Below are 26,606 nucleotides of genomic sequence, written 5' to 3'. Positions count from 1 at the left end.
GAGAGGGCCTCACTGTTATGTTTCTGACAACTAATCACTTTCTGTGCCCTCTGCCAGCTTGGGTACAATCAGCTTCCTCTGGCAGCCCATCTGGAAGTGAGTTCAATCGTCTGTATGTGGATGAGTGTATGTATATGTACTCTATTTCCTTTTATTAACATAGGGACCATTTCTCACCTTGTTTTCTAGCTTTGCAGCCAAACTGAGTACAGGGCTCTTATTGATTTTTGTGGCCTGGAGTTGGGTTTCTTTCAATGAAAATGAAACTTACTCAGATCAGTCCCATGGAGCATGGAGCAAGCAGAGAAATGAGCCATAAATTCAGGTGTACCCAAGTACGGGCTGCAGTTGGATTTTGTTCTTTCTTTGAGTGCAGGCCAAATGTTGCAGTTGGGCTTACACTGGCTGTACAGGGCAGATTTGTGGAGCTTTTACTATGAAACATACTTTCCATTATTCACCCTACTCACATGAGTTCTGCTAGAAAAAAGAATTCTCACTGTGGATTTGAGTTTACTAGTTCTGAGGCCAGTACATTTGAAGTGGAGAGGCATGAAAAGGGGGAGGTTTTCTACTCTATCCCCATGTGTTTATCATTGCTGAGCACTTACGTGTTAGGGAAGGAAGAAATGTTCTTATACTGGATTAAACTTTGCAAATAGCATTATTGTTCTGTAGACCAATAGGGTTTTATTTTTTAAAGTCAATGAAATTGACAACTTTTGGAAAGGATTTGAACTGTATTTCTGCTATTTCTGTTAGACAAACACAGCTGAATGACTTCTTAACTCTCTTGTTGGAGTGTTGGACTTGGTACCTTTATTAAAGGCCACTGGATTGAATTGTTATATTCCAGGGATGGGGTTTGACCTAATGGAATATCCATATCTATGCAGGGTGAGTGGATTTCTTATCTAGAATGAAACAACCAGCCAGCCAACTCCTGAAGTTGAGAACATGACTCTGGCTCTTCTCTTAACTTCCAAAGGGATTAAATTCCATAAAACCTTTTAACCTCAGAGTTTCACATGTTGAAAAGAGCAGAGCCTGCAGGGGTCGCTCATTCCAAGTATCTTTCTTTTAGTTATTTTTTTGATGATATGAAAAGACTGCTGACTGATTGTTTGCTGTTTTTAAACAAAACTTCTGTGAAGAGAGTCAAGGTAGAATTTCCTCTTTGTATTTTGTTTGCTTCCTTTCTTTCCACTTCTCTTTGCTCATCTTGCCAAAACTAACGTTTCTCTATGGCTTTGGTATGCTTTATCCTGTAGCAGGACTTTTGATCTCTAAAGATTTAAAGTTTGGAATAAGCATTGGTGGCCTTGAGTTTGCAAAAATCTTTCTTAATCTCCTTAATGTCTTGCTTTTTTGAACATGCCATTGCCCAGTAATGTGGCTTCCCTTATGTAAGTCCAATTAATCAGTTCAACACAGTATTGGAAAAATATCTGGTAAATTTGGAACGGTATAGCTAGGCTGAAATAAGCTTTTAAGAAGTCATGAATTCACTGTAAGTGACTCTCAGAACTTTGCCTATAGAACTGGCTTAGGAATCCAGATGGGGCCCTGAATCAAGGAGAGAGTATCTCTCATTCTTAATTCTAGTTGCTATTGATTTAGCAACTCTTAAGGAAGCATGGTAATCTTTCCTTTTCCCCAATTTGTTGTTCATTCTCCTTCAGAGGAAAGGTCGTTCTCATTTGTTGGTTATTGTGGAGCAACTTAAGCACAAAACCAGAAATATCAATGCTCATAGCTAATCTCCACGTGGCCAGCACCTGTGTTCTGTTTCGACACCTGGGCTCATCTGTGCAACCACCTGCAAATCCTGACCACTGATCATGAAGTGAGTTAAGTGTGTTGATAAACCAAGCAGATTCACTTCACTCCTGGAAACCTACTGTATTAGTCCGTTTTCATGCTGCTGATAGAGACATACCTGAGATTGGGCAATTTACAAAAGAGGTTTAATTGGACTTACAGTTCCACGTGGCTGGGGAGGCCTCACAATCATGGCAGAAGGCAAAGAAGAGCAAGTCACATCTTACATAGATGCCAGCAGGCAAAAAGAGAGAGAGCTTGTGCAGGGAAACTCTCCCTTATATAATCATCAGATCTCGTGAGACTTATTCACTATCAGGAGAATAGCACAGGAAAGACCTGCCCTCTGTGATTCAATTGCCTCCCACCGGGTCCCTCCCACAACACCTGGGAATTCAAGATGAGATTTGGGTGGGGACACAGCCAACCCATATCACCTACCATCAAGGAAAACTACGCTGTTTGAAAGTCTTTGACAGGTTATTTTGAATTTATATTAAGGATTATATTTTTCTTAAGTATCTTGTGAAAAGTTTTTAAAAGTACAGTTGTAGGAAAACAGGGCCTACTTGATAACATATAAGGGTTAGGTCACTTTTTAAAAGACATAAAGCAGTTTACTTTTGCTGAAGTAGCAAGGTCTATAGTTCCTGAAATCCTAGAATTCCCTTATTCTGATAAGACTGGGTATTTAATGGTCAAGGTTCTGAGTTGCCAACAAAAGAATCCATTCTGATTAGTTTAATCAGGAAGGGGGTTTATTCAAGAATATTAGGTAGATCACAGAAAATCAAGGAGGGGCAGACAGTAGGCTCTGAGCCATTCAGGAACAATCGTGGACACACAACAGGAGCTTCTTGAGCAAATTTTCCTTTGCCACTATTGCTTTGTATCAATGAGGAAACCAGGATGGATACCAGCAGCTTCTCCCTATTCTGATCTTGAAGATCTAGAGGCCTCCATCATCATATCAATTTCTCTCCATGCAGCCAATTCCTTGGGTTGCTAATTTCCAAAATCTAAGACTATCATGGGTAGATCTGATTGGTGGAATCTAGGTTACCCTAGCTACAAAAGAGTTTCGGTGTGGAAGATTTCTAGCTTCTACCTTGGGAAGGTGCAACTTATCATATGGGATATTACTAAAAGGTAGAGAAGATATCATTAAAATTAAAACCATTTATGCTTCAAAGAATACCATCAAGAAAATGAAAAGACAACTCACAGAATGGAGAAAAGCTTTGAAAATCATATATATGATAAGAGACTTGCATTTCTTGCCTATAAAGGAATCTTACAACTCAATAACGAAAAGAAAAATAACTGAATTAAAAATAAGCAAAAGATCAGAATATACATTTCTCCAAAAAAGATATACAAATGGTCAATAACACATGAAAGATGCTTAACATCATTAGCCATTAGGGAAATGCAAATCAAAACTGCACTGAGATACCATTATGAATCCACTAGGATGGCTATAATAAAAAAGACAGATAACAGCAAGTGTTGGTGAAGATGTGGAAAAAGTGGAACTCTCATGAATTGCTGGAAATGTAATATGGTGCAGCCACTTTGGACAACAATCTGGCAGTTCTGCAAAAGGTGAAGCATAGAGTTACCCAGCAATTGCACTCCTAGATATATAGTCAAGAGAATTGAAAATGTAAGTCCACACAAAATCTTTTACATCAATATTCATAGCAACATTCTGCAAAATAGCTAAAAAATGTAAACAATCCAAATGTCCCTCAGCTAACTAATGGATCAACAAAATGTGTATATCTATACAACGGAAGATTATTTGGTCATAAAAGGAATGAAGTACTGATGTATGCTACAATATAGGTGAACCTGGAAAACATTATGGTAGGTAAAAGAAGCCCATCACAATGGATCAGATATTGTATGATTTCATTTCTTTGAAATGTATTCTTTTTCTAGGGCTGCCACAACAAAGTACCATAGACTTGATGGCTTAAACAACAGACACGGATTTTCTCACAGTTCTGGAGGCTAGAAATCTGAGATCAAGACACCAGCAGGGTTGGTTTCATTCTGAAGCTGCTCTTCGTGGCTTGGGGATCCCATCTTCTCCCTGTGTCTTCACATGGTCTTCTCTCTGTGCCTGTGCCATAATCTCTTCTTTTAAGGAACCAATTGTATTGGATTAGAGCCCACTTTGGTGACCTCATTATTACTTAATTACCTCTTTCAAGACCCTGTCTTCAAATACAAATAGAACCACAACATATGAATATCAGGGGGACACAATTCAGCCTTTAACAGTCTATAATAGGAAAACATATAGAGACAGAAGATTAATGAACAGATGGTTGTCGTATTAGTCCATTTTCACGCTGCTGACAAAGACATACCTGAGACTGGGCCATTTACAAAAGAAAGAAGTTTAATTGGACTCAGTTCCACGTAGCTGGGGAGGCCTCACAATCATGATGGAAGGCAAGGAGGAGCAAGTCACATCTTATGTGGATGACAGCAGGCAAAAAGAGAGAGCTTGTGCAGAGAAACTCCCATTTTTAAAACCATCAGTTCTCATGAGACTTATTCACTATCATGAGAACAGCATGGGAAACACCTGCCCCCATGATTCAGTCACCTCCCACCGGGTCCCTCCCACAGCATGTTGGAAGTCAAGATGAGATTTGGGTGGGGACACAGCCAAACCACATCAGTTGCCTAGGGCTGGACAGTGGTGGGAGGTTTGGGAGATGATGGTTAATGGGTCCAAGATTTCCTTTTGGGGGCAAAAACTGGAAGCATTCCCTTTGAAAACTGGCACAAGACAGGGATGCCCTCTCTCACCGCTCCTATTCAACATAGTGTTGGAAGTTCTGGCCAGGGAAATTAGGCAGGAGAAGGAAATAAAGGGTATTCAATTAGGAAAAGAGGAAGTCAAATTGTCCCTGTTTGCAGATGACATGATTGTATATTTAGAAAACCCCATCGTCTCAGCACAAAATCTCCTTAAGCTGATAAGCAACTTCAGCAAAATCTCAGGATACAAAATCAATGTACAAAAATCACAAGCATTCTTATACACCAATAACAGACAAACAGAGAGCCAAATCATGAGGGAACTCCCATTCACAATTGCTTCAAAGAGAATAAAATACCCGGGAATCCAACTTACAAGGGATGTGAAGGACCTCTTCGAGGAGAACTACAAACCACTGCTCAATGAAATAAAAGAGGACACAAACAAATGGAAGAACATTCCATGCTCATGGGTAGGAAGAATCAATATCGTGAAAATGGCCATACTGCCCAAGGTAATTTATAGATTCAATGCCATCCCCATCAAGCTACCAATGACTTTCTTCACAGAATTGGAAGAAACTACTTTAAAGTTCGTATGGAAGCAAAAAAGAGCCTGTGTCACCAAGTCAATCCTAAGCCAAAAGAACAAAGCTGGAGGCACCACGCTGCCTGACTTCAAATTATACTACAAGGCTACAGTAACCAAAACAGCATGGTACTGGTACCAAACCAGAGATATAGATCAATGGAACAGAACAGAGCCCTCAGAAATGATGCCGCATATCTACAACCATCTGATCTTTGACAAACCTGAGAAAAACAAGCAATGGGGAAAAGATTCCCTATTTAATAAATGGTGCTGGGAAAACTGGCTAGCCATATGTAGAAAGCTGAAACTGGATCCCTTCCTTACACCTTATACAAAAATTAATTCAAGATGGATTAAAGACTTACATGTTAGACCTAAAACCATAATAACCCTAGAAGAAAACCTAGGCAATACCATTCAGGACATAGGCATGGGCAAGGACTTCGTGTCTAAAACACCAAAAGCAATGGCAACAAAAGCCAAAATTGACAAACGGGATCTAATTAAACTAAAGACCTTCTGCACAGCAAAAGAAACCACCATCAGGGTGAACAGGCAACCTACCAAATCGGAGAAAATTTTCGCCACCTACTCATCTGACAAAGGGCTAACACCGAGAATCTACAATGAACTCAAACAAATTTACAAGAAAAAACAAACAACCCCATCAAAAAGTGGGCAAAGGACATGAACAGATACTTCTCAAAAGAAGACATTTATGCAACCAAAAGACACATGAAAAAATGCTCATCATCACTGGCCATCAGAGAAATGCAAATCAAAACCACAATGAGACACCATCTCACACCAGTTAGAATGGCGATCATTAAAAAGTCAGGAAACAACAGGTGCTGGAGAGGATGTGGAGAAATAAGAACACTTTTACATTGTTGGTGGGACTGTAAACTAGTTCAACCATTGTGGAAGTCAGTGTGGTTGATTCCTCAGGGATCTAGAACTAGAAATACCATTTCGCCCAGCCATCCCATTACTGGGTATATACCCAAAGGATTATAAATCATGCTGCTATAAAGACACATGCACACGTATGTTTATTGCGGCACTATTCACAATAGCAAAGACTTGGAACCAACCCAAATGTCCAACAACGATAGACTGGATTAAGAAAATGTGGCACATATACACCATGGAATACTATGCAGCCATAAAAACTGATGAGTTCATGTCCTTTGTAGGGACATGGATGAAACTGGAAACCATGATTCTCAGCAAACTATTGCAAGGACAAAAAACCAAACACCGCATGTTCTCACTCATAGGTGGGAATTGAACAATGAGAATACATGGACACAGGAAGGGGAACATCACAATCCGGGGCCTGTTGTGGGGTCAGGGGAAGGAGGAAGGATAGCATTAGGAGATACACCTAATGTTAAATGACGAGTTAATGGGTGCAGCACACCAGCATGGCACATGTATACATATGTAACAAACCTGCACATTGTGCCCATGTACCCTAAAACTTAAAGTGTAATAAAAAAAAAAGATTTCCTTTTGGGATAATGAAAATATTGATTGATGTAATGGTTGCAAAATTTTGTGAATATACTAAAAGCCATTGCATTGTACACTTTATATGGGTGAATTGTGTGGTATGTGAATTACATCTCAATAAAGCTGTTACACAAAAGAAAAAGAGGAGGGAGTTCAGAGATATTAGGTGGCCACAAATAATCAGTGTCTATTACACTACCTTCAGCTGAGAAATTAAGAACAAGCTAGGAAATAACACCCCATGGTCTCCTGGACTAGGCCGAAGTGTCCCCTTTCCTCAGCCTAATTCTAAATCAACTTGACATGCCCAGTGGGAACACTGGCATTGCTGCTCTTTTGCCACAATGCCAATGTCCTTCTGGAATCTTTGGGAACGAGGCAACTGGCTGTGACCAATGTCATCCCTTTGATGTCCAGGATGCATGTGGCCACCCTGGTAAGCACCCCTTTCCTTAGCCAAAGCTCTGAGTGCATCCCTGAGGACCTATATATGGTAGAGGAGGGAAAGAGGTTCTCAGAGACATAGTTTTTTCAGTCCTGGAATATTTGTATTTTCCAGTTAAGTGGGCATTCATTAGCCACATAACACCATTTTGGTCAACAAAAGACTGCATATTGGAAGGTTGTCCCAGTAAAAAATACTGTATTTTTACTGTACTTTTCCATGTTTAGATATATGAATGCTTATCATTGCATTACAACTGCCTACAGTATTCAGTACATTCAGTACATGCAAGTACCCTCTATGGTGTTTACACAATGATTAAATCATCTAACAATGCATTTCTCAGAACATATCCTCCTTGTTAAGCATTGCATGTCTGTACTTCAAAAAATGTTTAACCTAGAAGGCCATCTCTGTAAGATTCAACAGAGCCTGCCCTGGTTATTTATTTTGCTTTTTTACAGCATTATCCCTTAATCCCTGTTTGGCTCTTCTGCATTACAAGGCCTCTTACTCATCTCCACTGTGGACTTCCCTCAGACTCTAGTCACTTGCTAATTGGCTTGAGATTTTTTTTTCCTTCTTGTGAATGTATTTGCAGTATTATCATTGCTGTAATAGAAGTATGTATAGGAGAAAGTACTTGGTAATGGGTGGAGGTGGAGGAAAACTGTCAATGAAAGCTTTTTTAGAGTAGAATATTTTGGATTTGTGAGTCTTTAAAGATTGATGGGGAAAGAGAAGGGAACATGGGGAGATGTGGAGGAAGAGGAAAGAACCCTCCAGCTACATGAGCAAAGTCAAGGGTACTTGACATAGTCCAGAGCGCCAGGGCAGCTGTGAATAGTTTGATTTGGCTTCAATGTAGGCTGCAAAGTGGGAATGGGGCAAGAGGTGAGCCTGGACAGGTGGGCTGGGCCAGAGGAAAACCCGTAGAGCCAGGGGAGCAGGAGAGAGGCTGTCTAGGCCAGCTGTGTTACAACATACCCTTAAGGCATAAGGGATGATTAAACTAAAAGGTTGATGGACATTTTTCTGTGACTGGCTTCTTTTGATTCATCCTGAAGTCTGCTAAATTATTCCAGAATATGGAATCCAGGAACTCTTTTGTGGAGCAATGCAGTGAAATTAGCCCTCATGAGTATTCACAATGAGTATCCAGATAAGCTTAAAATCCATGCAGATAGGTAGAGAAGGAAGCAAAGAGGCAGCTTGAGAGCTCCTGGGTGAAAGGGAAGAAAAAGCCACATTCCATTGCCCGGAGCATAAGTCATAGATGGCCCTGCCCCAAGGGGCTTCAGGAAAACTAAATCCAACCGGCAGAGATAAACCAAAAGTGACTGCAAATGTTTTTTGCAAAACTTTTAAAGGATACTCCCCTAACCCCAGTGATCCCACTTCTTCCTCTGGATTCAAAGTCAGACATCTTAGAGCTAGAGGCACCAGTCATGACAGATGAACCACACTTCTTCCATCCATCCATCATTAATCTATCCGTGTAACTATCCATTCATAATCAGGCCTTTGAATCTCTGGGTTCTATATAATATAGTCCGCGCTCCTGACTTTTGATTGGAAATACATATGCATGCACACACACATACACACACGCTTTTATTTTACAATGAATAAGTGAATGTCTAATAATGAAAATCAGCCTTCTTCGTAAGTACCAAGGGAGTATTTTTATATCAGAAAACATTTAATGACAAGGACAACATCAGCACTTCCTCTGAACATCCTACTTATAAACACTCTTACTTCTTAATTAACCTCCCCATTTTCCAGTAAATGAAGCCTGTTTTCCTAATAGAACTCCCCCATATCAATTTTTGGGTGTCTGGAATAATTTTTAATGACTATCTAGTTATTGTATTTTAATCTCCTCCCCCAAATCTAAGTGATAAATGCCTCACCATTTTCTTCAGATACACACCCCAGCCCTTATTCAAATCACAGTCCTTCACTCACAGTCAGGAACCCGCACACCTGGGAGTTTGTCGAAGAAACACCACCTTGTGTCTCTGCCCATCTCAACTCCTGTCATCTCTGAGCAAAGCAATCTTACTCCCATCTATGACTCCAGTTCTACATCATTGCACTCCCTTGTTTGGGGGAAGTGGACTAGTGGGACAATTTCCCAAGTTCTATTTTGAGAAAGGGGCAAGTTCATTAACTTTGATCAGGATGGGATGGGGAACACTGAGTGATGTATTTGGCAGATCTTTACACTCATATCTCTCTTGGAATCCTAAGATGATAGACAGATTAGAGAGTAGGGGGAGAGGAAAACTTTTTTATGATTAAGAGAGGCTTCATTGAGAACCTTTTTATGTGTTTGACCTTCTCTCCCCTGGTCCAGTTGCCCCTCGTGGAGACTCCACAGACCTCTGTTTATATCATTCACAGGATGTGCTCCCTGAAATAAGCTGAATAATATCCACCAAGATGTCCATGTTCTTATCCCCAGAACCTGTCAATGTTACCTGATGTGGCAAAGGGGGCTGTGTAGATGCAACCAAGTTAAGGATATTGATTGACCTGGGAAGATTCTTCTGGATTATCCTAGTGGGCCCAATGTCATCATAGTGGTCCTTATAAGAGGAACACAGGAGAAGCCCATGTCACACGGAAGTAGAAGATGTGATGATGGAAACAGAAGGTTGGAGTGATGCAGGGAAAAGGTCACAGGCCAAGGAAGGCAGGCAAACTTCAGAAGCTAGAAAAGGCAAGGAAATGGATTCTCCTCTAGAACCTCCAGAGTAAATCAGCCCTGCTAACACTTTGACTTTAGCCCAGTGAAACTGCTCTGAGATTTCTGACCTCCAAAACTGTAAGAGAATAAATTTGCACTGGTTTAGTCACCAAGTTTGTGGTAATTTACTACAGCAGCCACAGAAAATTAAAACATTCCACTTAATGACATTTCCACTCACAAATCCGTCTCTTTGAATAGAGACCACAAGCTCTTCTATATCTCCTAGCACTGGGCACCCTGTCAGTTAGTTCCTTCGGAATACAAGAAACAGAAACATCCCAATCAACTCCAATAAAGGATGTTCAATATAATGACACATGAGAAAGACAGGAATTGGCAAAACTGTCCCAGCAGCTGCCCTGCTAAGCCTTGTGGCCACTGGAACATCCTTTAGCAAACAGTGTTAGTTTTGGTCATTGGGCAGAAAGGTCAGTAACTCAGCAACATCAGTGGCTATTCCCTCAGACATGTCTGTTTTTGTGAGTCAATTTCTCTCTCCCCTGCTGCCACCAATTACCCAAGGGAGTATTTTTATATCAGAAAACACTTAATGACAAGATCCTGTATCTATTGTTTAAACTCTCTTTAAGAAACAAGCTGATCTTTTGATCTATCACCACCCAGGTGGGGGCAAAGCTGTCTCATGAAGCCAACTTTTCTTTGATGCTGGCCAACCTATAGATGGCTGTTTGGGGGTTGGGTGCTGACCCCTGGTTCAAGCAGCTATGGTCAGGATAACAGAGCTCAGAGACACCTCTCCAATCCACTGGTGCAGAATCCGCTCTCAAAAAATACTTTTTTGAAGGGAAGTGGCCCATGGAGGTACAAAAGAAATGTAAGATCTGGTCCCTGCCCATAAGAACTTTGTCATCTAGGAGTAGAAGGAAAATATATATAGAACAATTTTATATGGAGATACACACAGACACACACACACACACACACACACACACACATACACACAAATAGATATTTGGGAAATATATATGGAATAGGACAGCATTATATTCAATAGCCAAGTATCCTAATACAGTAAAGTATCCTTTGTTAGATAAATAAAATTAGAGGCCAGGAGCGGTGGCTCACACCTGTAATCCCAGCACTTTGGGAGGCCAAGGTGGGTGGATCACCTGAGATCAGGAGTTTGAGACTAGCCTGGCCAATGTGGCGAAACCCCGTCTCTACTAAAAATACAAAAATTAGCTGGGCATGGTGGCAGTGCTTGTAATCCCAGCTACTCAGGAGGCTGAGGCAGGAGAATCGCTTGAACCCAGGAGGCGGAGGTTGCAGTGAGCCAAGATTGCACCATTGCACTCCAGCCTGGATGACAAGAACACAACTCCAGCTCCAAAAAAAAAAAAAATAAAATAAATAAAAATAAAAAAAATAGAGATTATTACATTATCAATAGCCTTTTTTCTTCCCTAATGAGATATCTTGGCCTATATGAATTCACTTTCATTTCCATGTTTCTTTTGAGCAGTTCCAAGATTTAGCTTCTAATAGGGAATGTAGTAGTTAGGTTTGTTAGGGTTGTAAGCATAGCAGGGTAAACTGAGGCTTTTTTCCCCCTTGCCACCTTTCTGTACCTCTGTAGTTATAGAAAAAAATAGAGGATATAGAAAAAATATTTGTAAAAACCTACTGTTTAGGGAGAAGCAATCTAAGCATGGCACCTTGTATGTTCACCTTTTAAAAGAAACCTTTGTAATGGCACAATGTCAGGGCCATAGGTTCTCATGAGAAACAGCTATGTTATGTTACTAGAAGTATAAAAAATTGAACCCAACTGGGAGTCTTTGAAGATAAACAAATCCCTAAGGTGAGGTGTGTTTAATTTCAGGAATTTGGGAGAAGAAATCTCAGTTAAGAGAAGAAGTTCCCATACCTTTTCCCCATTGAGAAGCCTAGACCCCTCTTCTCCCTCTCCTCCCAGGAGTCTGCAGTCAGTGGGGAGGAAAGCCAGAGGCATCCTGAGAATGCCTGACACAGCCAAAACTGCCCAATCACTAGAAGAATCTTAGGGCCTGGAGTCAAATTATTTTTATAGGAAGGAAAATGTTCCCTGGAAAAAAATGGGGAAAGTAGAGGCATTAAAATGGCAAAGGGGGACATGGGGAAAAAGGCAGAGGGTGGAAGGAGGGGAAGAGAAAGAAGGGTGGGTGAAGAAGAAAGGGCATGTCCTCAAGGAACACCCTAAAGGGCCTGGGCAGTGAGGTCTCACCTTTTGTGCATTGTAAAGGAAAGAGGAACTAGAGTGGGCCCACAATGCTTGATTTCCTCTCTTTGGTTGGGTAAGCTTTGAGAACAAGACAGAAGCCCTTCAGTGAAAACTGGCTTCACTCTTCCTCCAAACACTGGGTGCTCTTTGTTTGAGGAAGCAGGGAAAAGAAAGATGGAAGGGAGGAAGGATAATTCTGGTCCCCCATGGTCAGTAGGCAGGCATGGGTCAGTTTCTTCAAGGGTGCTGAGATGGTGTAAAACAGACTGGGGGAAGAATAATTGGAAGGCATACCTGGAATCAATAGCTCCAAACCATCAAGTCAAAAATGCATGAAATGTTTGGGTGGAGAAACAGGCACAGACAGGGTGCCTCTTCAAGTCGGCATTATCTGTTACAGAACAAACTGAATATATAGGCATCATTTTAACACTGCATAGCCAAAGAGTCCCAGAAAAGTTTCTGGTAAGCAGGAAACGGTGAATGGAAATCAATCATCACTAACTCGATATGCATAAAATATTACTATAGTCTCATTGTTTAATATTCTGCCTTTACTGACTTTAATGAATATAATCTTATTTGCCATGAATTTTATAGATTTATGCGTGACCTCAGCTTTCCTAATCCAATTTTTCTCATAAGGTTTACATATTCCTCAATGAGAAATTCTTCCAAGATAAAAGTTTTCACAAAATCTCCACAGTTGGTCATGAACAAAATATTATTATGGCCAAGTGGTGGAGCACTGCCATTAGCTGACAAATAAGTTAGAGGTGTGGCAGATATTTTGAGAGGATAATAATAATGGCCCTTATTTATTGATTACTACTTACAGCCTCTGTGCTCTACAGTCTCTCATTTAATCTTTCCAACAACACGGTGAGGTGTTGTTATCCCCACTTTGCAGATGTGAAATCTGAGACAAGGAAAGTGTGAGTGAGTTGCTCAAAGTTTCATTAACTAATAAGTAGCAGAGAGGGGGTTTGAACCTAAACCCCTCTGAATCTGAAGCGTGTATGTGCCGCCGGAAGGTGGGGCGGTGGAGAGAGCTTGTGATGGGCCTGGAGGGATGGGTGGGAATTTTATGTGGAAAGTCAAAGAGGAGAAATTCAAACTGGGCCTGAGAGGGAGGAGTAAGGGCAAGGAGGGAGAGCTGGGGAGGCCAACCTCCTTGGGACAAGGTTCACTCCAGAACCCAGCTAAATCTGAAGATGGAAACTGAGTGAGGGCCAAATGAGGGAGCCCTGGAACCACAGGCTGAGGAGTTTCCACATGATTCATCACCGCAAAGGGTGTTCTTGGGATTTCTAGTCTTCGTTTGAATGATGCAAGCAGTTCATCTCATTTAAGAATCCTTTAGGCCATTTTAAACGTGATTGTTTTTAGCAACAATGATTTTGGCAGGAAGTGAAGAGGCTGAAGTGTAGAGGGAGGGAGGAATAGGGATAGAGAGAGTATGGTGGTTCAGTAGGCTAAAGGAAAATATTTTGAGAAAAGTAATCACTCATGTAAACTGATTTTCCTAATTTAATTTCCCTGGGACAATGTCAGGCCCTGCAAATACAGGGAGAGGAGCAAGGGAAGAACAAATGGATTCTTTCACTTCTGCAGAAGCCTTCAGCTTGGATTCAGTTGAGAGGTACATGGTGGCTGATTTTTGCAATCAAGCTGAGGAGTTTTCATCTTAAGCTTGGACCTTCATAGCTGATCATGGCAGCTGACTTCTGTTTCCAAATCAACTATCCTCGCTCTGGGGAGGTGAGCTCTTGGAGTGGACTGCTGGTTGTGAGTCCTGTTTCAGGAGACCATTTAGTCAGGGCAGCGGAAACTGGTGGATTTTATTCAGGGCCTCTGTGCCAGACACCTATTTATGTTATGTCATTTGGTTCCCCCAATAATCTTGTAAAATTACGATTCCTCTGCAACAGCTGTTGAAACAGGCTCAGCACAAGCACCAAAGAGTACAGAGCTAGAAAGCAGAGGAAAAAGGATTTGAACCTGACTCTTTCTAACTCCAAGGTCAGCGCTCTTTCTTCCCTATCACTGTAGACTGCAGGTTAAAACAAACAACCAAACAAATTAAGCACAGGAGACAGGGAGAGGGAGAAGGAGGAAATACCATGATTAGATTCTAAGGAGAACAAAAGAAAAAAAAATCGAAGAAGTTTGCCTAGTTTAGATGCAAGGTTAGGTTAAGACCTGTAACTTTTGGCCCCCAGTGGAGTGGTCAACATTGAGCTGGGGGCTGACAAATGTTCTGCTCTCCTCCAGAATTTGACTCTTCTAAAAGAAATCTCTCCACACCCCATCTTTCTCTCTCTCTCTGTCTCTCCTTCCCAGAAAGAAATGAACCTGAAGCACCCCTCATGATGATGTGAGCATGCTGGATTGCTGCAAGGGCCTTAATCCCTGGGAGATTTATATCTGTGACTTCACTATGAAAACAAAACTATCTTCCCCGCCCTGTCAGGGTGCAACAATTAGAAAAGAATGTGAGGTTTACTTTTGACGAAGCATGTGGTTCATAATAGAGCCTCTTTTACCAATGGGATGATTTGTAGCTAAAATATAAAAACCATGGGCTGAAAAGGAAAAGAATAAAGAAAACATAACAGAATTCCTATTACCCCTCTCAGAACAGGGAAACAAAGGGTAAGCTTTGACAATGAACTATAATACATTTTTGAATATTTTGTTCTGCATTAAGATGCAGTATTTTTTTCTGCATTAAGACTGTAAGTCATTGTGCACTTGGAAGTTGGTTTTCTATTAATTTACATAGGATGGACCTACTTTCCCTGTAATTATAAAAACATCTCAAGACATGCATGACAGGTGTTCAGAGAATGCCACTGATTTCTGAGCCACTGTAGATAATTACACATTAATATGGATGGTATGAGGACTTGATCTGATCCCATTCTACACCTGTGAGGATAATGGGACTTCCACCCCTTAGGTCACGTGGGCATAATGACTTCAGGTAGTCTTAAGGCAATACAGTCTTAAGCCAATGAGGGTCATAGCAGTAACAAGCTAGAAACTCTGAACAGTTAGGTAGTCTGGAGGCAGTAGGGCTCAGGGTAATAGTCAAGGCCCAGGCAAGATGCAGACTCAAACAGTCTGAGGTTGTCATGATCAGAGATATCAGAAAAGACTGAAGACAGTCATAGAACCAAGGAGAGCTCCATGGGAGCTAGCAGAATTTTCAAAACCTACTACTATCTGCTCCTTAACATGGTAGGGGCCGTGTTTTGCACCCTACTCCGTTCCCCAATATCTGCCATAGATCCTTACCCTAGAGCCATGCACATCAGGGGTTGGTTGAACACCTGAAGTCTTTGATCATCATTTACACTCCTGGGCATCAAGTCTATGCTACCAAAAGAAATCCCAATGGGAAAAAGCCATCTCCTAGCTTTTTGAGTAGCAAAATTATCTAGGAGCTCATAACCTTTCCATTTCCATAGCTGAAATCTGCCTGACATTCTCCACTTGGAGTTGAAGTCCAGTTTGATTGAGGTGGGGTAAGTGCTTCATTTTCTAAAAATGGACTGGTTTGAATCCCAGTGTGGTCTAAACTTAGAAACTGAGACCTTGACCTCCTTTTCAACTTTCTGCTCCAGAGAAAGTTACTAATAATCAGCTGCCTAACTATACCAAACCACTTTGGAAGCTCAGTTGAGCAACACACATACTAGAGTTGGTGTTATATGCAGTAGATTGACAGGGTCCTTTCTCAAGGGTAAAACAAATGCTTAAATCATTTCATATTTTTCTCCTTCCTTCCCCTGAGCTTCTGCAATAATTCACATGCATTTCTGTTAGTTCTTATCATGTATTGTTTTAATTACTTGATTTTTAAACTGTGAACTCTTTGTGGATATAGATCAAGCTTAGAGCCTGAGACATAATAGAACATTATATAACAGTTGCTGATGATCGCTTGAGCCCAGGAGTTTGAGACCACCCTGGGCAACATACTGAGACCCCATTTCTATATTAAAAAAAAAAAAAGAATCTGATGCTCAGCTGTACAAAGTGCAGTTAGTGAACAGCCTCCATCGGCAGTGCCTTCAGATTGCATCCTGGGCATTGGAACTGATTCCACGCTCTGCTGCAGCTCCCAGGCAATGACTGAGCTTGGTGGGGGCACTAGGGTGTGTCCATTTCTGCCCAATGTGGAACTCTTCTAGTGACCATCTGTGTTCTAGGGTTTCCATTGGGTTGAGCTGAGGTTTTCCTGGCCCCATTTTGTTTCCTCTTCCCTTGCATTTCAGATATCAGACATTCATCACAGTCTGAAGACTTTCTATGCCCCATGCTACTCTCTCCCCTTTTATCTTTCACAGACTTCACTTCCCAATAAATCTCTTACACTCCTATCTCCACCCCCTGAGTCTGTTTCCCAGAGAATCTGTACTAACACACCTACACAATGCCTCGGGCAGATATATTATCTTCCTTAAGGCATGATGGAGAGATTTCATTAACTTGAATGCACAGTGTCTCCTACCACAACTGTAGCCTTGTTGAAATGCCCCCCGAAGAAAGCCATTGGATCCTCATGTTGTTCATGCAAAAATGCCATCTCATGGGGGTGGCTAGACCAGAGAATGGGGTATTCTAAGTCAGCATGCCCGACACTGGCTCTTTGCAAGCTTGGATCACAGCCTGAAAGAAACCTGAGCACTCCTCCATGGGTAGGGAGGAACACTGAACACATTTGGAGTTGATAAGGGAAACAACTGCATTTGAATGAGGTTTAAGAGGGTTCTTGGATGAGACCCTTAAGAAGTCTAGTGCTTTTCTTTCACTTTGGCATTTTACATTTTTTGGCACAAGATATGTTAATGCTTGGAATGAAGTTATCACAAGATACTTGTTTTGCCAAAGAACCAACTACTGCTTCAAGACTTACATCCCCTTCATCTCTTGTTTGCTTCTGCCTTGCCACAGATGCTGCACTCCTGTGATTTCTGGTAGTCCCACTGGTAGCCAACAGTGAGACAGGTGGAAGTCGAATTAAAGATATAGCCAAGGAAATCAAAAAGCCTGAGTCCTATTACTTATCCACTTGCTGCTTGCAATTTGGCATCTTTGATGACTGTTGGAACCCCTCTCCTTATTATGAGGCATTTCAGCTGGACAGCAGACACAGACTTCTTTTATTATATAATGCCTGATATGGTTTGGATGTTTGTCCCCTTCAAATCTCAGGTTGAAATGTGATTTTCAATGTTGGAGGTGGAGCCTGGTGGGAGGTGTTTGGATCATGGGGGCGGATCTCTCAAGAATGGCTTAGAAGCTCTGCCCTTGGTTATGAGTGAGTTCTCACTCTGGTAGTTTACACAAGATCTGGTGGTTTAGAAGAGTGTGGCACCTCCCCTCTCTTGCTCCCACTCTCACCATGTGACATGCTGGCTTCCCTTCCCTTCCACCATGATTGTAAGCTTCCTGAGGCCATAGATGGAGGATGCTGGAGCTGTGCTTGTACAGCCTGCAGAACTGTGAGCCAATTAAACCTTTTTTCTTTATAAGTTACCCAGCCTCAAATATTTCTTTATAGCAACACAAGAACAGCCTAATACAATGCCTCAGTACTGGATGCTGAAAACATAATTTCTTCAGCTGTGACTTTGTGTGCTCAACTACATGGAAAACAAGGAAAATTTTAAAAAACCTCAATTCAGACATGCTTTAAGTTAATACAACAATAGGATGGCTGGTGCAGTTTTTTCTAATACTAGCTTTTCTTTTTCTTTTTTTAACTTTTAAGTCCAGGGGTACATGTGCAGGTTTGTTATACAGGTAAACTTCTGTCATGGGGGTTTGTTGTACAGATTATTTCATCACTCAGATATTAAGCCTAGTACCTATTAGTTATTTTTCCTGATCCTTTCCCTCCTCCCACTCTGGTGCACAGTTTTAAGAAGCAGAATATGTTGACAGAGCTGACAGCTTCCTCCATAGTGCCTTCCGTGACCTCTCCTTGGCTCCAGCCACACCAGTCATTCATCAACCCCATAGGCCCTTGGGCAGGAGTCTGTATAACTCCAGTTGGTTTTGCATATTTTTATGCCCTGTCTAGGAGTTGGAAGGAACTAGAGAGGTTGTTATAGAATAACCTCTCTTTGAAGGCAGGAAGCCCCTCTCATATAGAGTAGGCATCTCTTAATCAGGCATTAGGTTCTAAAGTCAGCATGTAGGGCAAAATCAGGTGTTGTCAACATCACCTTTGACAATCCTGACATGAGAGACTTGCAGGAGCTGAAGCAATGAAGGTGGGGGTTGGGTGGTAAGCAGAGCTGTTTCCCTGGTCTCACTCTTACCCTTGGGCATAAACAGCCTTATAAGTGGAATGGCAGGGAGGATCATCTACACTATTTAAAATTTTTTAAATGTTTATGTCAAAGTTACTCATGTGTATTTTATTAAATTAAACTATTTCACCAGGTTTGTTACAAAAATTATCAGCTTCCCCACCTTCACTTTCCCTTTCCCAGAAGCAATGATTTTCAGCTGAAATGACTGACCGTCCATACATGCTTGTATTGCTACTTTTGGGGTTTTCATTTTTAGGCATTATTTATTGATTTCCTACCATGATGGAAGACAGAGAATTTAGTTCTCTTTCATTCCTCCTCCCCACCAACCACCACACACTTTTTCAGTTTCCCCATCCTTCCATTGCAGTTATAATTTTGGTTGAATCACTATTCAGAGGTTACATTTTTATAACTATGTTAGTGGTTTCCACAGCTGAACCATGTTGTAAACATTTTTCCTTTCCTGAACAACCTTTTATTTTCCCTAGAGTTAATAATTATTTTTGGTCTTTTTGCTTGCTTGGTTTTCTATATACTTACATTAAAGTAACTTCAAACTCTTCACCAGTTGTCCCAATCTCCTGCCCGTATGTTCAAACGTATTGATGGTCAGTCAATTTCATCTCAGAGAATCTCCTGGAGCCTTCTGGCCTGTTCCTATATGGTCTGGTATTATAACTGCTGTCCTGGCTCACCCTTCCATATCATCCTGGGCATATCTTTGGCCTTTATACTGTGTTGGATCTTCTCTTTCCTGTACCCCATGTCCTTTTCTTTTTGGCTTAATCCCCTGTTATGATGGAGCACACCTTACAGAAACTTCTTAAGAAAGGATGGATAGAAAGTACATTTTTTGAAATCATGCATGTCTGAGAATGTTCTTATTCTATCCCATTTTACTGATGGTTTGTCTGAGTATAGAATTTCAGGTTGTAGATTGTTTTTGCTCAGAATTTTGAAGGTATTGCTCCGTAGTTCTAACTTCCAACATTGCAACTGCAAAGTATGATAAAATTCTAACTCCTGTTTCTTTGTAAGTGTATTTTCTCTCTGAAACCCTGTTGTATCTTATCTTTGTCCCCAGCATTCTAAAGTTTCATAATAATTTACAGTGATATTGGTATGTTTTTATTCATTGGGTTGGGCACTCTGTGGTTCTTTCAGTGTGGTAACTCATGTCTTTCAATTCTGGAAAGTTTTCTTAAATAATTTATGTGTTGATTTTCTTCCCTGATTTTATCTATTCCCTTTATCTGTGTCACCTATTGTTTGCATATTTGACTTCTTAAACTATTTTTTCTTTTTTCCTTCTATTTTCCATCTCCTTATCTTTTTGCTCTATTTGCTGAAAGATTTCTTCAATTTTACCTTTCAATCCCTCTGTAGAGTTTTTTAGTTTGATTCTCATATTTTTAATTTCTAAGAGCTCTTTTTTCTCTATGACTATTTCTTTTTAATAAACCGTCCTGACGTTGTTTCATGATTGCAATGTCTTCTCCCTAAAGATATTGACATAGGACTGGAATGTACATATACAGTCATGTGTCACTTAACAGCAGGGATATATCTGAGAAATGGATGGGTAGGTGATTTCATTGTTGTGAAAACATCGTAGAGTGTACTTACACAAACCTAGATAGTGTAGATTACTATACACCTAGGCTATATGGTACAGCCTATTACACCTAGGCTACAAATCTGTACAGCATATTATTGTACTGAGTACTGTAGGCAATTGTAACATAATGGTAACATAATGGTATTTGTGTATTTAAACATATTTATACATAGAAAAGTTACAGTAAAAAAATACACAGGCATTATAATCCTACGGGACCATCATGATATATGCAGCCTGTTACTGACCCAAACGTAGTTATACAGCACATGATTGTACATATGCTCTTTTCTCTTACAAAATCTTCACTTCCTCTAAATTGATTTATTTTTGTGTTTCTTTCCAACCAACAGAAGCAGGATACACATTCTTCTCAAGTGCACTTGAGACATTCTCCAGGATAGATCATATGTTAGGCCACAAAACAAGTCTCAACAAATTTAAGAAGATTGAAATAATATCAAGTATCTTTTCTAACCACAATGGTATGATAAAAATTAATAACAGGAGGAATTCTGGACAATTCACAAATATGTGGAAATTAAATGACATGCTCCTGAACAATCAACCAATGGGTCAAAGAAGAAATGTAAAGGAAAATTTAAAAATATCTTGAGACAAATGAAGATGGAAACACAACATTCTGAGACTTATAGGATGCAGCAAAAGCAGTTTCTAAGAGGAAAGTTTACAGCAATACATGCCTACATTAAAAAAGAAGCATCTCAAATAAACAACTTAATGTCATACCTCAGTAAACAAGAAAAAAGTAAAAATTAAACCCAAAATTAGAAGAACAAAGGAAATAACAAAGATCAGAGCAGAAATAAATGAAATAGAGACTAGAAAACAATAGATAAACAAAGTGAATAATTGGTTTTCAAAAACATAAACAAAATTGACAAAACTTTAGCTAGATTAACAAAGAAAAATAAGTAAAATTAGAAGTGAAAGAGGGAACATTACAACTGATACCACAGAAATACACAGAATCATAAGGGACTACTATGAATAATTACACAGCAGCAAATTCGATAACCTAGAAGAAATGGGTAAATTCCTGGAAACATATAACATACTAAGACTGAATCATGAAGAAATAGAAAATCTGAACAGATCAATAATGAGTAAGGAGATTGAACCAGAAATAAAAATATTCCATCAAAGAAAAACTCAGGGATTGCTTCAAGGCTAAATTCTACCAAACATTTAAAGAAGAATTAATACCAGTTTTCTCAAGCTCTTCCAAAAAAATTGAAGAGGAGGAATTCTTCTGAACTCATTTTACAAGCCAACATTACCCTGACACCAAAGCCAGACAACGACACAGCAAGAAAAGACAATTACAGGCCTATATGCCTAATGAACAAAGATGCAAAAATCTTCCACAAAATATGAGCAAACCAAATTCAATAGCACATTAAAAAGACCATTCACCATAATCAAGTGGGATTTATCTTTGGGATGCAAAGATAGTTTGACATATGCAAATCAATAATTGTAATATACTGCATTAACAGAATGAAGGAAAAAACATATGATTATCTCAGTAGATGCACAAAAAGCATTTGACAAAGTTCAACATCTTTTCATGATACAAACTCAACAAACTAGATAATGTACTTCAACACAATAAATGCCATATATAACAAGCCCACAGCTAACATCATACTAGTGCAAAGTTAAAAACTTTTCCTCTAAGATCTGGAACAAGACAAGGATGCCCACTCTCACCATTTCTATTCAACATAATACTGGAAATCCTAGCCAAAGCAATTAGGCAAGAAAAATAAAAGGTATCCAAATTAGGAAAAAGTTAAATTGTCTCTGCTCATAGATGACATGATTTTCTTTCTAGGAAACCCTAAAACTGTCACACACACACACACAAAAACTTGTTAGAATAAATGAATGCAGTAAAGTTACAAGAAACAAATCAACATACAAAAACCAGTAGTATTTCTATTGCTCACATTAGAAGCTTTCCTCATATGTCTGATGGTCTTTGCTTATGTTTACATGTTTGAGGCACTAAAAAACTGATTAAAGGCTTCAAAACATGGATGGGTCTTGTTGAATATAGTTTCTTTATAGGGTGATCTGGCTGGAACTCCCAATGTCAATATCTTAAGATGTTTCCTCTTGAGCTAGTCAGGTTTCCCAGAGAAGGTATGTCCAATCTTCTGCCTGTAAGGTGAACGCCTGGCTTCCAGTGTTCTGGCAGCTGATTGTTTTGGAAATTTTGTAGTATAAATCCAGTTCCCTCTCTGCTTTCCCAAAGCTGCCCAAGGATGTAGTTTTCTCTGTTTTGTTATTATTTACCACATGCTTCCAATACATTGCTATAATTGTCTCTTTTCTCATTCTTCTCACTCTTGATTTAAAATATCCAGGAGTTTGGGATGGAGTGAAAATAGAAGAATGCATTCAATCCATCATCTGAACCAGAATTCATGATTTTTGTTCTCTTTTCATTTTTGGCTTAACACAAAAAAATTGGATTCATATAATTTATACAATCATAAACATTTTCTTTCAAGGGTTTATAGTGATATTTGTTGAGTATCCTACAGTTTATAATTTTTTTCCACTCTAGATCCCATTTGGTTTTTACTATGTCCTAGTGTTATAGAAACTATTATTCCTCATTTTTAAGTATGAGAAAACTCAGGTTTAGAGAAGGTGTACCCTATTCAATTTTCAACACTTGGTAAGGAGTTGAGATAAGACTCTAAAACCAGATTTCCTGACTCCAAATTTGACTTTTCTTTTGTCACCTGCATTAGGCATTTTTTGTGAACAATTTCTGTGAGTTGAACTAGTCAATCTGCAATGCAATGCAGCCTTTTTCACCGGTGGATGGATGGTATTCAGCTGTCTTGGATGAAGCATAATGGGGTTGTAAAAGTTGAGGAATTCTGAGTCCAGGATGTTCAATGAGTGTTGAAGTTGTCCTTGGTGACGGCAGGTAGGCTATGAGTGAGATGCCAGAACTCCCAAAGAAGGATGGTAGTGACTGATGGGAGGTCAACAGATGACAGCAACAAGGCAGGCAAAAAGAACATGGTGTATCTGAGCAGCCTAAACCTCAAAGGAGGAAGAGATCTTAGTTTAGGTAGATGGTAGATGTGCAAAGAGAAGACTGGTGAAGGCTGACTTTGCAAAAGGCTGACCCTCCCTCCTGGTCCCTGTAAGAATTAGGTCTTACAGAATCCAAATAAGACAAGGAGGGGGAGGAAACATTGGGTGTATAGATTGAAGATGCAGATGGGATAATGATGAGAGAATGAGGTTTGGAAAGAATTGGGATGAGATTTAGTGAAAAGAAGAGTTGGGAGAAAGTAGGTTCAGAGCAATTCAAGGTTGTGTATGTGACCTTGAGTGAAATATTAAAAATCCTTGCAACCGGAGTAGTTGAGGATAGCAGCAAGGCACTTAGAGCTTTGTTTCAGTTTCTTCCTTTTTCCAATGGAAGCGTGTCTGTCTTCACCTGTAGCATGTCCTGGCTTGCCAGCCTGGCCCACAGGGCTCTTTCTCGTCTGTGACCGCCAAAGGCATTGCATGAAGGATTTGGTCTGAAGCCAAAGTAAATAGCAGCTGAGAGACACACAACAGTTGGTGTCTGGCTCAGATGACTCTGGCGCCTTCCTAGACAACACTCCTCCCCTCAAAATGTCTGCTTGGCTCAATGAAAATGAAAATTAACATTTGTACAGTGCTTTGGGGTTTACCAGCCACTTCCACACAAAGCACTTAATTTCATCCTACCAACTATGCTGGTGGTAAGTATTATGATTCCCATTTTACAGGTGAAGAAATCCTCAACTCCCTCCATGACAACTGAGTTACGTTCAGTAATTCATTAACTCACCCTGAACATCAGCTTTCTTAGTAATAAAATGGAGGTAAGACCTATCATGAAGTTGTTTTGAGAATTAAATAGGATTATATGTATACAATGCTTACACACAGTTGACATTCCATAAAAATGTTCATTCTATAGCCCCACTTAAATGAGTCATCCCAATTGGAGTCTCCATCTGCCCTTGCCAATAAGGAACAGGCCATTTCTAAAGGGTGAAAGGAATAATTTATAAATATGCAGCTTTAGTGACTGTGATATATTATGAGGATGGCCCCAGAAATTTCTTCCATTCCTAGATACATGCTTCTTTGCAATGTTAATTTGTCATCCAATAAAAGGCAGAGTCTATTTCCTCTGCCCCTTGAATTTTGGCTGGCACTATGATGTGCTTTGATCAATGGAATGTGGCAGAAGTGATATTGAGCCCTGAGTGTCTGCTTTCACCTTCTTGATGCCCTGTGACTCCCAGGCTTAAGAAAACCCAGACTGGTCTCCTTGAGGATGAGTGATCACATGGAGAGAGTGTCCTACTCATCGCAGTAGTTCCAGTCATCTCCACTGAGGCCCAACACATGTGATTGAGGCTGGCTGGGACCAGTGAGTCTTTCTCCAACTCCCCACACCTTCACCTGCCAACTGACTGCAGTGAACATGACCTCGGGTGAGACTGGCAGAGGAACTGCCCAGCTGAACCTGGTCCAAATTACAGAAGCATAAGCAAATACATGGTTTACATGGTTGCCATTGTAGGCCACAAATTTTGAGGTAGACTGTTGTGAGGAAATAGATAAGCAATACATGATTAAGGTGAGACAGAAGGAATACGTTTAGAGGGTAAGATTGTACAGATACTGAACAGGGGTATAAAGGGAGCTCACAGCATCTTTCTCCTGTAACTATGGTTGATTGTTATAAACCTAATGAATTTGTGAAGACCTACTGCTCTGACACACGTAATTCTTTGGATAAACAGATATGCTATAATCTTACATCCAGGGAGTTCCAAGCTGAGAGTCTCATTAACTTCCACTTCATCCTTATGACCAATAAAGGGTCAGACCATCTGTGTCTGAGAGAGGGTCTTGGGAATATCCCCGACATCATCCTCAGTCAAGCTTGGGGCCAAACCTCTCAGTCCTTGATCTCTATCAATCCTTGTGGCCATGTGGTGGGAGCATGCTCACCTCATCATCATCTAATCAGCTCCTCAGAGATCTCTAAATTGTTCTGGAGGAAATAATGCTCAGAAAAGTGGATGTGGAAGCAGGCAGGATGGAAATAAAGTATTTCAGCATAAGCTGAACTGATTATTCCAGACCTGACCCTATCTGGGCCAATTTAAGCATTTCAGAGGAATTTTGGTTTGAAGAGGCTGAGATAATCCCTGAAGTCCTTTACAACCAAAGTGAAACGTCAGAAGCAGATTGTTCTTCTCTGAGCAGGGAAGTCCATGGCGTAGTTCTCAGAGTACCTGGTAGTTTCTACCCTGAACTTGCCCACAGACAGGGAAGAAGGCCGAAGTGACTTCATGCAGTGAAAACAAACCACATTCTCCCTGAAAATCAAAAAAAGAAGCTGGTTTCTGAAAAGTTAGTCCATGGGCCAATGGGAAAACACTAGTAAAATCCACATGCTTTGGGATGCAGGTTGCTGTGTGGATTCTAAGAGTCCTCCCTTCCTTCTTAGGTTCAGTCCCAGTGCCACCATCCCTAATGCACTAGGATCCGTTTTATTAGGTTGGTGCAAAAGTAATCACGGGTTTTGGCATGACTTTTAATGTAACCCGCGATTACTTCTGCACCAACGTCATAGTTAAATCTCTCTCACTGCCCCTCTTGTTCTCTTTGTCAACAGCAGAGATGAGGTGAAGGAGTCAGGGAGAGCAGAAATGGCTCTGGTTTCTGAGCTCTGCTTTCTCTACACAATTTCAATGTCCATGAGTGTGGGGAGGAGAGAGGGTGAGGCTGCCAGCTGGAGCCACCACTGCTCAATGCTAAGTGCTTGGAGTGTGGTACGCAGCCCACCCATGTGCCCCGCCAGCCAGCCAGCAGCATTTATGGAGGCTCCAAGGGGACTCAGCCTGCTGGAGATGACACCAGGGATAAGGCAATCTGGCTCCAGCATGGACCTGTTGCATGAATTTAAGCAGGTTAATTAAATTAACATTTCTGAGGCATGCCACAGTTTACATTATGCTTTCAAAAGTACTTTTGAATGAATCCTCTCAAACCCCCCACCACATATGTGACACATGATATATTTTTTTCATATTTAAAAGATGAAGAAACCGAGGTCCAGAGAGGCAAAGTGGTTTTCCAAAGTCACCACATGTCAGATATCATCAGAATCTGTTGCCTCCAAGCCCTTTTCTTTTCTTTTTTTTTTTTTTTTAAAGCATCCAGTTATTTTATTCAGTCATTTCCTGAGCATGCTGGATGCAAAGCCCAGGTGCTTTCCATACCACACTGAGCCACCTCTTGTATATTTACTTCTCTGAGCCTGAGTTCCATCATCATTAAAACAACAACAATTTTATTGTGTGAGGTAAGCATGTTACCTGTGTTATCTCATTTAATCCTTAAAATAACCTATGGGCAGAAACTATTTTTATCCCTGTTTTACAGATGAGAGAATTGGGGCTTAGAGAGATTAGAAACCTGC

General features: G+C 40.4%; 1 long non-coding RNA gene across 1 annotated transcript in view; it reads right to left on the bottom strand.

Annotated features, from left to right (window-relative positions):
* Window positions 1-20,389: 20,389 nt before the first annotated feature.
* The window catches only part of LOC107985869 (uncharacterized), a 46,872-nt gene continuing 40,655 nt past the window's right edge, over window positions 20,390-26,606 (bottom strand). Inside the window, exon 3 of the long non-coding RNA XR_001739409.2 lies at window positions 20,390-25,500. This is a non-coding gene — a long non-coding RNA (uncharacterized LOC107985869). The remainder of the gene's footprint in view (window positions 25,501-26,606) is intronic.

Source organism: Homo sapiens, chromosome 2 (assembly GCF_000001405.40).
Source record: "Homo sapiens chromosome 2, GRCh38.p14 Primary Assembly".
In the NCBI taxonomy this organism is placed as follows: Eukaryota; Metazoa; Chordata; class Mammalia; order Primates; family Hominidae; genus Homo; species Homo sapiens.
This window is presented reverse-complemented; position numbering and strand designations above follow the sequence as displayed.